Source organism: Homo sapiens, chromosome 10, assembly GCF_000001405.40.
Source record: "Homo sapiens chromosome 10, GRCh38.p14 Primary Assembly".
NCBI classification, from domain to species: domain Eukaryota; kingdom Metazoa; phylum Chordata; class Mammalia; order Primates; family Hominidae; genus Homo; species Homo sapiens.
The window spans coordinates 75761727-75777834 of NC_000010.11; the positions used below are offsets into that span (position 1 = coordinate 75761727).

At 42.2% G+C, this 16108-nt stretch overlaps 1 protein-coding gene across 2 annotated transcripts in view, besides 1 other annotated feature; it reads left to right on the top strand.

The window, feature by feature from the left end:
- LRMDA (leucine rich melanocyte differentiation associated) overlaps positions 1-16108 on the top strand; it is a 1128545-nt gene that overhangs the window by 330103 nt on the left and 782334 nt on the right. The gene's annotated exons all lie outside the window — the stretch shown is intronic.
- Positions 13045-13339: an enhancer, noted in NCBI's record as "tiled region #10683; HepG2 Activating DNase matched - State 6:EnhF, and K562 Activating DNase unmatched - State 22:ReprW". NCBI's record gives its function as "activates a minimal TATA promoter and a strong SV40 promoter by Sharpr-MPRA in HepG2 and K562 cells {active_cell/tissue: HepG2 | K562}" and the evidence as "EXISTENCE:reporter gene assay evidence [ECO:0000049][PMID:27701403]".

Here is a 16108-nt window from a genome sequence, read left to right on the forward strand (position 1 = left end):
TATCTAAGAAGCAAGGAGAATGCAGCCTAAGAAAGATACAAATTCCCTGAGATTTTGGTATACTTTTGTTTTTTTTTTTTTGTTTTTTTTTTTTTGAGACAGGGTCTGGCTCTGTCACCCAGGCTGGAATGCAGTGGTATCTTGGCTCACTGCCACCTCTGCATCCCAGGCTCAAGTGATCCCCCCACCTCAGCCTCCTGAGTAGCTGGGACTGCAAGCATGTGCCACCACGCCTGGCTAATTTTTAAATACTTTTTGTAGAGATGAGGTTTTGCCATGTTGCCCAGGCTGGTCTAGGCTGGTCTTAAACTCCTAAGCTCAAATGATCTTCCCACCTCAGCCTCCCAAAGTGCTGGGATTACAGGCATGAGCCACCATGCCAGGCCTGGCATAATTTTTGAAGGATCTCAAGGTTTTATCTCCCAAAGAAAGAGGCAGTTGTGCAGGGCACAGTAACAAGCGGATTAGGCATTGTTATTTTTTGACACTGGGTTGGGTTTCAGACCATGTTTTGTTTTTCCTGTAAATCAATCCTGTCCAACTCACAGCCCATGGGTCACATGTGGCCCAGGATGGCTTTGAATGCGACCCAACACACATTTGTAAACTTTGTGAAAACATTATGAGTTTTTTCTGTGATCTTTTTTTTCTTAGCTCATCAGCTATGATTAGTGTTAGTTCATTTTATGTATGGCCCAATTCTTCCAATGTGGCCTAGGGAAGCCAAAAGATTGGGCACCCTTGCTGTAACTGAAGATGTGCAGTGCCCAGGCACTTGAGCAGAATGTTGACACAAGAAACCAGAGTCACATTCACCTTGTAAACCGCTGTGGACTTTGGACAGATTGCCTGAGTTTAAATCTTGGCTCCCCCACTTAATGGCTATATATCCTTGGATGAGGTAATTAACCTCTCTGAGCCACAGTTTCCTTATCTGTAAAATGGGGTTAATAAGAATATTCACCTTATAGGATTGTTGGGGACATTAAGTGATACAATGCAGATAAAGTTTTTAGAATCCCTGGCCTCATAGTAAGCCCTCGATAGATGTTAGTTATTATTATTTTATTGTTAATTATATGTGGTCTCATATATATATGAGACCTCTCATAATGAGATTTATCACAGAAACCTCAAAGTAATCTGTTCACCCACTTTCTACCACACTCTGCCAGTGGGGCACCATTTTATAAACAAGTGTGAATTTGACCACAAGGAAAGGAAGCTTCATTTCTTCCTACCAAGAAAGAAAGGGACTCCCTGGGGGACTTGAGACCTATTTTATTCTAATTGGTCACTGGGTCTGCATACATTATCCCTTTTTTCATGTCTATCTTCAAATTTAGCCAGAATGCTCAGAGAACAGGGTGTCTTGGATAATTTAATTTTGTGACTAACTGATAACTACAAAACACCACTTTCAGTTCAAGTTTTATTTGTGAAAAGTTTTTCTAAAATCCAGTGTCCTTTGTTTCTATAGGAAATATAGTGAATAAGAAAATTTAATCTTTCCTTGACAATGAAAGATTTTGGAGTCATTTCAGAAAATCTGTTCCTGATGGCCAGAAATATAAATGTAGGTAAAGATAGAACTACAGGTATAATAAGCCCAGGACTACCCTGAGAAAGATTTGTAATAATGCCCTTAAAAAAAAACCTAGTCTTTGCAACTTTCCCTTAAAATCAGAGTATGGGTGAGAAGTTATGATTGATGGTTTGGGTTCTTTGGATTTTCATTTTTTAAAGACTAAATTATAGGAATAGCTCTCTCATCACAAGCCTTCAAGGAGTTATACACAGTAGACAAGTCACCTTGAAAAGAATAACGGCTTTATTATCAGAATCAAGGATGATATCGAGCAAAACAGTTTACGAGTTGAGTAAACAAGAGATGCAGTCTAGCTTTGTTCTAGTTTCGAAGTCTTCCTTATTTCTCCCTGCAATGAGTTCTAGCTATTTCAAATCAGGACAATTTTTTTTTTTTTTTTGGCAGGTGTTGGGGAGGTGGGAAGGGGAGAGGTGTTCCTAAACCTGGTTGGGAGGTAGTGTGTTGTATTGGATAGAGCCCTAGAGTTGGGAAACTTGGTTTCCAACCCTGTGTCCACCATGCTTAGCGGAATGACCTTGGATGGGTCAGGGGCTGTCTTTGAACCTCAGCTCTCTCTAGCTGAATGATGCAGGGGTGCAAACTGATGCTTTCCAAGAAGCCTTCTGTTTGAACATTTAGACTAGGAGTTCCATCAAGGTATCAAGCGTGCTGTCTTTCTTTACTCTTCCATCATAATCAGGAGACTTCAGGAACTGCTTGCCAGTGAATCTGGTCGCATGGAGACCCGGCTGAGGGTGGGGCTGGTAGAAAAGCCCAGATTTATTTCATGCTTGCTTTCCCTACCTGTCTTAGCCTCTCCCTTTCTAGCTCTCTCTTTCTCCTTCCTGCCCACTCCTTCCTGCTCCAGGCTTCTCCCCGGCCCATCTAGATTATTGATTGGAAGTCACCAAATAGTTTCTGTAACCATGTCATCAACGGCTGCCAAGACTCTTGTCATTATTTCAGCCACACAGACTAAATGACTAGGGGAAAATGGCATTTTCCAGCTCCGGTGCAAAGCATTCTAAACTGTGGTTGAGCTGGGGTTTTTCATTTAAACTCCGTCTGAAAGTCTTTATGCAAAACAGCCTGTTCCCAGCAAGTGAGTGAGTTCATAGAGCCCCCAGTTTAGATTCTCGTAATTTTCCATATTTCTTTAGCTTGCCCTGGTTACCCTCCTGCCTAGTGCATGGTAGACAGGAAGTACACAAAGGAATTGTGCAAAGTTTGGAAGCAACTGGCAGGTGGGTTTGCATTTTTCCAGGTTAATTCACTTGATGAAAATCTGCTGTGGGTGATGTGTCATATATCAAAGGCAGGGCATCAGTAATCTTTGCTCAAGGGCACGGCTAACAGACAGATAGACGGGAGAATGAGATGGAAAAAAGCAACTCATCCTTTTCTGCTAACACCACGAAGGAGATAAAGGAAGATTTATGAGTCATCTCGGACCACATACCAGCAAGCAGCAAACCGTATTTTTCACATGTTCCCAAAATTGGTGGTGGAAAGCAATCTGGTTGTCATTGTGTCCATCCAGTCTTTTAGGAAACAATGGGATCCTTCAAGGGTCCGGCTGTGGAGTCAGCTCTTTGCCCTCCCTGCAAGAGACACGTGTGTGTGTGTGTGTGTGTGTGTGTGTGTGTGTGTGTGTTCATAGCATCTCTGCCCTCTTCAAGCACATGATCTTTAGTTTAATAATGTGACCTCTGTAAAATAAAGAAAAAAATATATGAGTGGAAACAGACATGACTATTGGGCCCCAGGCACTTAGATGCTGACTTGGTGAATACTTTTTCAGTTGTCACTCATCTACTTAGTTTTACTTTTGTAATAACCAGCTTCATTTATTTCCTGCTTTGGGGTATGAGGAAGAGGAGGACACTCTTTGTTAGGTGTCTTTTTTTTTTTTCTTTTCCTACCTCTGAGATGAGCCAATCCCTGTCAGATACAAACAAAGACTTGCAGCCCAGGTTAATTTGAATGGGCTGTTTTGTGTGGAGTTAACTGAGGACACTAGTTATTGAGAGTGCTCAGGGTTTCTTTATTCAGGCAGCTCAGCAGCTGGCTCTAGAAGTGTTGTGTGGAACAACTGATGGAAGTGTGAAGAGATTTCTTAATATTTCTCTCCCCAGCCTTGAAAAAGGCACCTGGATTGCAGCTGGATCACGTCTGTGTTTGTGACTATTTACTTCACATGGCAATTTAAAAACTATTGTAAATTCCAAAAAATTGGTTTTGAATTTTTTCTAAGGCCTCTGTGGTGTGCTCCATTTTTTTTTTGAGAGGCACACAATTAGCATTCTGTGCAGAAGGGCATGATTGATTCTGCACAGTGGTGGCTATATGAGCAAACCTCATTTAGACAGCTGAGTGAAATATACAGGGCAGAGGAATTTATGGGACCCAGAGAAGCTCACGTGCAGAATGAAAAGGAGCCACCTTCGCCTCTTCCCCCACCCCCGTCCCACTTCCCCACTCTTCACTTGTTCAGGATTTCTCCCTCTCCAGCCGCTGGGGTGCCCACTGTGTGTCATGATGCTGCTGAGCCTGACATCTCCCAGCAGAGAAGATTGAATGCCACTTAATCATGCAGCCCTCCTGTGGGAAGCATGGAGTATGCAATCAGATAGACAGGAGGAGCGCTCAGAATCCGTTATGTGAGGCTGAGATGGTGAGGAGGGCGTGGAGAACAGTGGCTCTAGGTACTACACGCTATCCTAAAAAATGTCTGTTGGAAGGAGTGGCTTTTCTAAGTGCTTCAGGCTTCTGTACTGACCTTCGGCTGGACAGATTATTTGGAGGGTTGGGTGTTCACCTTAGGGAATATAGGCCACTTTCTTAGAAATATCACCAACTTACTTTTACAAAGTAAGTCCAGTGTAGGAAGTGATTTTATCTTATTCACCAAAGTGGCACAGAGTAGGTCCTCTATAAACAGGTGCTGCATTGAACTGACTTAACTCTCACTAGGATGTGGCTTTTCAGAGAGGAAGCATCTTGATCTGATGGGTTTGCTGGTCTGTCCCAGTGCTGTGGGCAGTGCTTGGTACATAATACATGCTCAAAAAGCATTAGTTGAAGGAGTGGAAGAATAAACCCCCAGAATGACATTTGGTAGACAGAGCTTCTCATTTCCCTCATGGCTTATGCATAGGAATGGCTTTCCACTGAGGTGGGCAATGAGAGGGATGTTTTTCTGCTTCTTCCTTCCGAACCCTTCCCTGGGATTTGCATGCTGTTCTTTTTTTCTTTTTCTTTCTTTCTTTTTTTAGATTTGCTAAAATATTGATTTATTTCCTGTTTTATTTTTTAAAAATTTTAAATTTTACTTTAAGTTCTGGGATACATGTGCTGAATGTGCAGGTTTGTTACATAGGCACACATGTGTCATGGTGGTTTGCTATACCTATCAACCCATCATCTAGGTTTTAAGCCCCGCATGCATTAGGTATTTGTCCTAATGCCCTCCCTCCCCTTTCCCCCATTCCAAGACGGGCCCCGGTGTGTGATGTTACCCTCCCTGTGTCCATGTGTTCTCCTTGTTCAACTCCCACTTATGAATGAGAACATGCAGTGTTTGGTTTTCTGTTCCTGTGTTAGTTTGCTGAGGATGATGGTTTCCAGCTTCATCCATGTCCCTTAAAAGGACATTAATTCATCCTTTTTTATGGCTGTATAATATTCCATGGTGTATATGTACCACGTTTTCTTTATCCAGTCTATTATTGATGGGCATTTGTGTTGGTTTCAAGTCTTTGCTATTGTAAATATTGCTGCAATAAACATATGTGTGCATGTATCTTTATAGTAGGATGATTTATAATCCTTTGGTTATATACCCAGCAATGGGATTGCTGGGTCAAATTGTATTTCTGGTTCTAGATCCTTGAGGAATGGCCACACTGTCTTCCACAATGCTAGAACTAATTTACACTCCTACCAACAGTGTAAAAGCATTCCTATTTCTCCACATCCTCACCAGCATCTGTTGTTTCCAGACTTTTTAATGATCACCATTCTAACTGGCGTGAGATAGTATCTCATTGTGGTTTTCATTTGCATTTCTCTAATGACCAGTGATGATGAGCTTTTTTTCATATGTTTGTTGGCTGCATAAGTTTTCTAATGCCTTGTTCCTGCTGTGTCTTGATTCCCACCTACCTGCTAATGCATCCTTGGAAGCTAACCTTTCTGATTTTTTTCCCTTGAGTGAAATTCCTGTCCATTTAATGGCAGTCTTAGTGCTGTCGGTGAAGACTGTCATTCATTCATCTGCTAATGTAAATTATGCCAGAAAACTTAACGTGATTTCTACTTCAAGGGATAATTTGAAATTTTAAAAAGCTATTTGATTAGAGTCTTCTGATATATATGACTTTGTGTCTTTGGTACTGATGGTAGGCTAAAAATGCCCCCCGAAAAGAGGTCAGGTCCTAACCCCTGGAACAGTAAGTGTTACCTAACCTGGCAATGTATTCGCAAATGTGATTAAGTTAACGATCTTGGGCTGGAAAGATTCTCTTGGAAGGTCCTAAATGTAATCACATAGATCCTTCTGAGAGAGGCAGAGGGAAATTTGACCGAGACATGGCAAAGAAAGTGATGTAAAGATAGACCAGATGTGAAGGGGCTGGCCTTGGAGACTGTGGTGATGCAGCCACAAGTCAAGGAATGCTGCAGGCAGCAGGAGCTGGAAAAGGCAAGGGTCAGATTGTCCCCTACAGCCTCTGGAGATAATATATTCCAGAGGCACTGATTTCAGACTTCTAGTCTCCAGGACTGTGGGGAAATGAATTTTTGTTGTTTTAAGCCACCAATTTTGTGCCCATTTGTTGTAACAGCCATGGGAATCCAGTACGGCACCTGATTGTCCTGGCACTGGCATCGTGGCACTCCCAGAAGTTGGATTGGCATTATTATTAGGCAGCCCATTCTCCTTCATTGATGGACTTTATGGGAAGGACCACTATAGGAGAGAAAAGGGACACATTATTGTAGAAATGTCCTTAGTAATTTCTTTGCTGTGCATTATCTATTTTATTCCCATAAGAACCTTGTACATCAGATGGGTAATAATCACCCCATGTTTATGGGTAAGGGAACTTTCAGGTTATAACTTAGTTAAGGAAAGAAAGCCAGCTGGTGAATACTGTAGTTGGGATTTGAATGTAAGTATTTCAGATCCTAGTGTAGTATTTTATTCTTTTCACTATGGTGTTATGTTTCATTTCAGCTCACTTACCATTTTCCGAGTCTCCAGGTAGCATCAGACACATTGGTATTTTTCTGGGTCTTGTTCCTTTTCTCCAAATGCGGTCTTTCAGTCCCAGCTTCTGTTATATTAATATACTTTGCTTAACCTGGAAAAGACTACTGTTACATCATGGCAGAGTACTTGACTCTGATAGCCAGGTGGCTCTTTGTGGTTCTTTAGTATAAAAAGTAACTGTGTTATATAGTACAATGGGATTGTATGTGAGTCTGTGTGTGTGACAGAGAGAGAATTGGAACAAATATAATTGAGGTGCAAAGTAAAAATGCTTTAGGATTGTTTTTGAATAACTAAATATAACTGGTCACCTAGACATCTCCTGTTTCAGACATCTAGCTTTTCTTGATTTGGCCAGGGCCTGCAATTCAGATGTGAGATATCAGTGTTGAAAGAGCACTTACTCCAAGGAGAAGTCAGACATAATGGGAGCTGGAACCCATCAGAGACGGGCAAAGTGTACATGTCCTATGAAGCCTGTGAGATTCGAGAGAGTGTTTTGATTTCAGAAATTGCAATCAGAGGTTTGCTTCAGCCTTCATGCTGTCAGATTGGAGAAGTTTAACTCTGAGGACAGCTACCGGAGACACACAAAATCACCATCTTTGTATGTGCAGTCTTTGTCACTTCCAGCAAGTTATAAAATTACATAAAAGGAGCCGAGTATGATACTATCACTTGGGTTGCCACAAGAAAAATCTTCCAAATCTGAGAATTATTAAGAAGTGTGAAAATCTCTTAATTGCAACATGTTCTACACTGCACAAAAAGACTATGTGGCCGAGAAAATTGGCAGTGTTCTGATGATCACATTTAACAGCTGGAATGCTCCTATTCAAACCACTTTTGTAGCAATAAGGCTAATAATTTTTTTGCAAACTGCTGTGATAGCCATAATTCTGTTTTGTTAAGATGTCTTGTTTCTATGTGTGAATGCAAACATACATACTTATTTTGGTCCATCATTATTATAAGTATGGTGGGGGTGGTGGTAAAGGTGTGTTAATTTATTTTATTTTTTTATATTTCATTCGTTTTCTCCCCTTATTTTTAAAATTTGTATCAAGTATCTGTTACCTTATTTTAAAAAAATTTTAACATATCAAAATTGGCTAAGCAACATTGTTATTTGTTTTCGATTGCTTATGCCAGGCATGGCATCCTCATTCCTGTTCTTGTCTTGTGTAGCCGCTTGATCAAGAACTGGCCAATATGGTGAAACCCCATCTCTACTAAAAATACAAATATCAGCTTGGCATGGTGGCACATGTCTGTAATCCCAGCTACTTGGGAAGCTGAGGCACGAGAATGGCTTGAACTGGCAAGGTGGAGGTTGCAGTGAGCCAAGAGTGCACCACTGCACTCCAGCCTGGATGACAGAGCTAGACTCTGTCTCAAAAAAAAATTATTTTAGGTTGGGTGTGATGGTTCAAGCTGGTAATCCCAGAACTTTGGGAGGCTGAGGCAGGAGGATCGCTGAGGAAGGAGGATCCTGGGAGTTTGAGACCAGCCTGGGCAAGATGGCAAGACACCATCTTTACAAAAAATAAAAAAATTAGCTGGACATGGTGGTACACACGTGTAGCCCCAGCTACTCTGAAGGCTGAGGCAGGAGGATCCCTTGTGCCTGGGAGTTTGAGGTGGCATTGAGTTCTGATCTCACCACTGCACTCCAGCCTGGGTGTCTGAGTGAGACCCTGTCTCTTAAAAAAGAATTAATTTAAAAACTTACAGTTGAAAAAGTTTCATGTATGGTGGTAATGGTTGCACAACAGTATGAATATACTTAATACTACTGAACTGCATACTTAAAAGTGGTTACTATGATACATTTTATGTAATATGTATTTCACCATAATTTTTAAAAAGTTGTATATGCACACAGTTAAAAATGCCAATAGCATTAAACAGTCAGCCAAAAGTAAGCCTTCTTCCCTATAGCAGTTCTTTTCCCAGAGGCCACCATCACTAACAGCTTCTTTTGTTGTCTTCCAGAAACTTTTTGTGAATATTCAAGCACAGAACTATATTTTGAAAGAATTGTGTAATTGGAAAATAAAACCATATTGGCCTTGTGGAGGCCGAGGGTGGGGTGGGGCAAGAGAATGATGGATGGAAGAGAGATGGGTGGGTGAAGTGAGGCTGCTGGTGACCAAGTTCTAATTCAGAACATTTGTGGAAACTCTCCTTGCTCGGGTCTCATGCCACGCTATTTCATCAAGGAATAGGAAGCTGAATTGGGAACTTGTGGGAAGCCAGGAGGAGAAAGTGAGTTCTATGGAGTTGTCATTTGCTGTAGTCCAGAGGGAGATAGCTGTGAGTAATGGGGTGAAGTTAAGCAGAGAGGAATTTAGGCTGGGAAAATCAGGACAAATTTCACAATGGGGCGAGTGTGTAGACGTGTCCGTGGGGAGGTAATAGACGCCTTGCCACTGGAGGGGCTGGAAATAAGACTTGACACAAAGCATGAGAAAATGGATGATAGGGAACTGTCCCTGGGGGTTGGTGTGGTGACCTTAATCAGGCTCTTCCCTGCCTAGCTCTGGATTCACTGATTCAGTCTCAAATGATCCAAGGGAGAGAAACAATTGCTTGGAAAATGGCCGTAGGGGATAATGGCTATTGACAGCAGATATTGGCTCACTCTACACAGGTTCACTCCCTCCCTCCTTCCCTCCTTCCTTCCATCCATGCATTTTTTTTTTTTATCTAGTCATCCATTTAGCCAAGAGTTCTTTAACACCTACTAAGTATATGTAGATTATTGAGGGCACTTTACATAGGCTAGTAAGAAAAGTCATTGCAAGAGAGGACATTTATGCTGAGGCGCGTGAATCAGAATGGAAAGACCTGGGGAGGAACATTCCCGAGAGAGGGCACTGCCCTTGCCAGTGCTGCAAAGTGTGAAAAAGCCTGGCGAGTTTGAGGACCAGAGGAGGTCAGTGTGGCTGGTGAGTGAGAGGGGTGATGAGGCTGAAAGAGCTTTAAGGTGAGGTTGAAGTCAGGAAGCAGGAGCCAGGTTGGTCAGGGCCTGGTGGGCTCTGCTTAGGAGTTGGAATTTTGCTCTGAGAGAGATGAGATTTGAGTATGGATCTTGGATGGCCTTCTGTTTCTGCTTTCAGACTTTCCTTATACCTTCCAGTTCCTACTTTTTGAGAATCAGGTGTGGCAGTCAGACAGAGGTGGGGGGGTTTTGTGAAGAAGGGTGTGGCACAGGGCTTGAATCACCAGGTGTGGGAAAGGCAGGTTGGGCAAGAAGCTGAGACTGGGAGAGGGATTCAGCCCGTCTTGCAGCTCTGTGGTTGCTTCAGGTGGTCAGAGTTTTCAGGGGGAGGCCCATGGTAGGAAGGCAATTAGTACTGGAAAAGATCAGCTAAAGCAAAGCAACTTACATGGAAAGCAGTATGTAATAGTAAATCTAGAAAAAAAAAGTTTGGAATTTAATCTTGCAAGCTGAAACCCAAAAGGATAAAAATATTTGGTATCAAAAACATTTTCAGTTGTAGCTGCAGCTATGCTCTAATTCTCAGAAAAGCAATTCAACTATTAATTTAATTTTTCTCCATAAGTGTTAATGACAGAATTACACGCTGGCACCATATATCTTTTACTTCATGTTTGCTTTTATTGTGCAATCATTAAAGTTGTTTATTTTTGTAAAATTAGGACTTTATCAATTTTATGAGGGCCTTTCTTAATCCTTCAGTATTTAAGTCAGTCTTATAAAATGTTGTTATTGACTTGATTTTTGCTTTTTCAGTTGGCCTAAGGGCATAGGATCAATGGTTTTGGGTGTAATTTGAGCATTTCTCTGTCACTTCAGTTGAGTTCGTGAAACGCCACATCTTTTGCAGAAGTTTCGGTTTCATTTTGCAGTTGCTTTGCACCAGAGGCTTATGTAACATTTGACCATCAGATGGGCCTAAATTGTTGATACAAGGATCAGGGATGAATGCTACTTGGAAGAGAAGTTTGAGTGGGAACCGGTCAATTCGCTAATGAATAGTTATGATGACTTTGTTTCCTTATGCAAATTCAAAACTGAAAGTGCTCGAATAGCAAATATTTGGGTAATGAGGTTCTTCCCTATTAAAATGTAAGTACCTAAAGTGCGTCTTGCTGTGGAAGGGCCCAAAAGGTACAAAATGTACTGGCTTTCAATATCCTGTCATTTCTAGTTAGGTTTAGGTATATATTGGTCATTTGCAGGACTAGAGCACATTTCATAGCCAGAGTGCCCTGCCCCTCAGGGCACTATTCTTATTTTTTGGGGGGGGTGGGATGGGGGGGGGCAGATTAATCAGGGATGTATGGATCATCCCAGCTTGCCCTGGGAAGCTTCTTGGAATTTGGGTGTACACCTTCTGAAAGTGAATGGATTTGAGTAAAATTTAAGAAAAATACAAAAGAAAAAGGAAAGCTCTCCATCTTGTTAAAATAAATTTGTTCAGAAAAGTATCGTGAATGTCTATATTCATTCCACTGCGACCTTGCCACTGTTGACATTTTAGGTAGAAAATTGTTTGTTATGGGGGACTGTCTCATATGTTGAAGGATGTATCACAGCATCCCTAGCTTCTACTCACTAGGTACCAGTAACACATCCTTTGTGACAATTAAAAATGTCTCCAGACATTGCCAAATGTCCCTCTGGGTCAAAGTCACCCCTGGTTGAGAACCACTGATCTCAGGTTAGCACAGAGAGGCTGCAATGGAAAGATTGTAGTATGTTAACTAGGTGAAGGGATTGACCACTCCCAGTTCTGAGCAATTTGATGGGTTCTTAAAGAAAGCACAGCCCTTGGAGCTGGGGAAGGAAGTTTGTGACTCATGGTGGTGAATCTAGGGGGTTCCTGTGTGGGTCCAGTGGAGCAGGTCTGGTGAGAGGGGACACTGGGAGCCCCAGAACTCCGAGCCCCTGGGGGACGCCAATGAAGCTGTCTATGAGAAACATGTGGGAAGAGGGAGACAGATGAATGATGAATGTTTTCCACGTCCTTGAGTTGTGGGTCACCTGAGGTCTAGGCCTGCGGTGAGGCCACTCACTCATTTCAGCTCACACTTCGCCCAGTGAGTAATATTTGTTCCAGCCTTTGGGTCACTGTTTACTCTGCCTCCCCTCTTGTCAGTTCCCTCTGGCCTTCTTTATATCTTTCTGAATATGAGTCAGTCTTCAAGATCCAGCTGAAATTCTAGCTCCTAATGGAGCTTCCTCAACTATCCTGGCCCACGTTGAGTTCTTCCTGCTCTAATGCTCACATTACTTACCAGAGCTTTTATTTGGGCATTTAATCAAAGGTAGTTGTGTTTCATTATATTCACATCTTGTGTGTTTCTCATGTCCTCACTGAGTCTGTAAGTTCCTTTAAGGCTTAGTCTGTATCATTCTTTTAATCCGCCATGATACACAGCATAGTATGAGTACATGGTAGGTGTTCAGTACATGCTAAGTGAATCAGAGTAAATGGAAGTCAGTCTTCTTGCTCATCCTCTCAGTGTCATTTATGTCTTCCAGATCCTCTCCACACACTCCAGCCCTATTTCTTTAAATAGTTTAAGGAGACAGCACATTGTTTGACAGTTCTGCAAACATAAAAAATAATTTATCTCACACTTAATTTTTATCTGAAGACAAGTTTAATATTTTCAAGCATTACATTTTTATTTTTAAGTTCTTACATCCTTTTTGTTTCTCTTAATGTCATTTTGGCTTCAAAGGGTATAATTTTGAAATTATGAGTACTGTAGGACTTGTTAGTATTTCTTCTTTGTGTGTATAATGTTTCAAGAACTGTTGATGGCTAAATGTCATTTTTATACTTTTTGGATTCATAACAGTTCAGTTAAATTCAAAAATAATTAATAATATTATGTATCTTAGAAATAGCTGTCATGTATCTGGTGGATATGACATATTGTTAGATATTTTAAGTTAAAAGTTCTGTATGCAGGCCAAGTTGAGAACGATGAGGAGCAGACTGTTTTATAGACAAGCAGAAGGATATAGTAGATTTATGACAAAGCATATTACCATAATGTAACCATGCTTGGAAAACTGTGTGGCTTCTCAACTCAAAAAATAAACTAGTGATCAGTAGCCTATCTCAAACACTTTTTTTTTTGCTTTATTTATATCTGGTTTCATTCTGAAAACAGCAAGACAACTGACAAGTTAAATAAGATATTACCACTAAATAACAACGTACCCACGGCAGTTTTCCCAGATCCTTGAGGGCAGCTTAGACATATTGGCTCTTTGATTTTTAGAACTTAAGCAGGGATGAAAGCTCTCCATAAAGGGTCATTGTTTCCAAAATGGAGCTTTCCAGGCTGGAAGGAAACAAGGCTTTCAAGAATGATATCAGCGGTGGGAGGTGTGGGGGAGGATCCCCTGGCCTAGCCTCAGTCGGGAAGTGGTTTATCTACATTCACTTAGCTCTGTCCTAGTCAATTGAAACCAACTGGCCATTAACTTTTCCTTCACAGAAGTGGATTGTTCTTCCACTGTAGATTTTGTGGGGCCTTCCTGAGAGGGGCCTATCAAGAAGGTTAGGCCTGTCCACACAAGGATTCTCCATGTTATTTTTATAGGAAGAGGTCAGATTTAGCCTTTGCAATTCTTTTGGTCTGACTCAAACAAGCATTGGAGATTTTCCTCTTATAAATCTGTTTTTTTGAGATGGGGTCTTGCTATGTTGCCCAGGCTGGAGTGTAACAGCTATTCATAGGTGCAACCACAGCACACTACAGCCTCAAACTCCTGAGCTCAAGCAATCCTCTTGCATCAACCTCTCCAGTAGCTGGGACTACAGGCATGCACAACTGTGCCCGGCTTCCTTTTATAAATAGGTTTTCAGCTTGCAAAGAAATGAGCGACAGCTTATTGCATTGATTCTAACAGTGTTGTATCCTCAGGTATTGGAAAATTCCACTAGTGGTCAACATAATGGGTCATGATGTCCCATGTGGGGACTTAACCACAGTCAGTATGATCCTGGTCCAGTGGTCCCCCGAACATGTGTGAGTCATATGTAATGAGGATGTAAGCAGCTCTTGTGCGTGGGGAAACCTCCCACATCCCACTGAGGAGTCTCTGTTTGAGCTACTCCAAAGGAATCTCTTGGTGGCTCCACAGAGCAGTCTTCTTGTTCCCACCTCAATTCTTATGGCATTGTCCAAGGTAGCAATGTTCCTGGCTGTCTTTTCACAGTCTTACTTTCAAGGAGCTCCAAAACCTCTAGAGATCTCCAGCGTAGAGGTAGACCTGGAAACATGACAAGTGCAGGCCTTGGGGATGCTGACTTAAGATTCTGAGGCAGAAGAAAAGTGTAGAGAGCACACTCCTCTGTTTGCCTCAGACCTGGGGGCCAGGACACTGAGCCTGCTATGAATACCCAGCTTGAGGAGTTTAGTTAGCAAACCATGAGGCTACTATAATTTGCTTTAATATCTGCCTCTTTCCCTTTGCTGTTGATATTAATTAACCTTACCCCAAACTCAAGGAGAAGCAGAGAAGAAGCTATTTACAACTTCCTTTATTATTGATCAACTCAGAACCACATTCATTCAGTGCCACTTAGATGCTGAACACTGAGGAAAGCATTGTGGACCAATGATGGAGAAAGCCTTTTACAACTGCTGCTATTGCTGCTTTTTCTCTCGAGAACTTGAGAATTTGGGTCCTGGAAGAACTCACAGAGATGATTCAGTCCAGTAGTTCGCAAGGTTCTAGAAATCATCTGGGGGCATATTGGAGGAAGAAGGGACCCTGATCCACTCTCAGAAACCACTAGGTTTTCCTGTACTATTTGTTGGACTTGATTTGGAAAAAGAGTTCTGCATGCCAACATAAGCTTGAAATGCAGCCTTCTTATTTTACAAAGGGGGAAACTGAGGTTCATGGGCCAGAAGGAACTTAAGATGGAAATTTGGGGATTATTTCCCATTCCATGTTTGGCTGTATCCCTGTAATATTTTCAGTGCTATTTTGGGATTCATATTTGTATCAGTTACCAGAGATTGGTTCCCCTAAGTAAATCAATTGGACACTATTAGCAAGGGAATTGCATGCTGTACATTTTACCCTGTCTTAGAGAGAAGAAAAGTTCCTATCTCCTGTTTGCATATCTTTTATGAAAACAATTTAAACCGCACCTGTTTAAACCTTTCCACAGAAATGTCTGAAAGGTAAACAGTTGGTTTTGGAGCAGCTATAACGTGGCATTGTTTAACATGGCAGCTCACTGATGGTTGTCTTTAATTATGGCCGTGCTGTCAACCCCTGAAGTCCCTGCTCTTTGTTGTAGATCCGATATGACGTTTGAGGTTTTCAAAGCTGCAGAGATGAAAGAATCAACAGTCAAATATTGCTCATTCTGATATGCTTAAGGAGCGAGGAGGGGGCATTGCCCATGAGGGCTGCAGAGCCGGGGAGGGAAAGCTGGTGCCCTCTGCTTTTGATGGCAACCTTGAGTGGGGAGCCGGGTTTACTCTGTTTGTAAGGGAGCAGGGCCAAGGCTGGGGGAGACGGAAATGATTTATTCAGTGATGGTAAACAAGTGCAGAGTACAGGCTGCCGAGCTGTGCAGGGCTGGTGGGAAAGCTGGCTGTCTCTTGCCCCCAGCAGTTTGAACATTAAAGATGTGAAGCTCAAAGCAGACCCAACAAGGCTTTCTGGAACCTCCCCCAGCCCCTTCCATTTCCTTTGTCTTCAATCTCCCAGAGCTGTGTGTCTCTGGGCCATCACATACTGCTGCTATTCAGGGTGTTAATTGTGGGTTGGTCCCATCTCAGACCAAAGGTAGCCTTTTGGGGGCTGCTTCAGTCTGGCTCCTGTTATTGCTAACATGGGTTGCCACTAGCTCTTTTCTCAGACAGAGCTGTCCCATGGCATCTGTGCCTGGCAGAGCAGTCTCCTGCTTCTGCAACAAGCTGCTTTTGTTGAAGGGCTATGTCTTCAGAATCTGTTTAGGTGTGTGAGCCACCTCTGCTGGGTACCCTCCTGACTGGGGACCTACTTTTTCACTTCACTCCCAGCTCCCACTTGAGAGGCATTGTGGTCTAGCGGTTAAGAGTGCTGGCCTTAGCCAGGCTGCCGGGATCTGAATCCTGGTCTTGCCACTCACTAGTTCTGTGATTTGGGGCAGGTTTCTCTGGGTTTGTTTCCTCCTTGTAAGATGGTAGTAACAGTGGAACACATGTTGTGGTCATGATGAAGGCTATGTGACTTAATATATAGGATAGTGTCC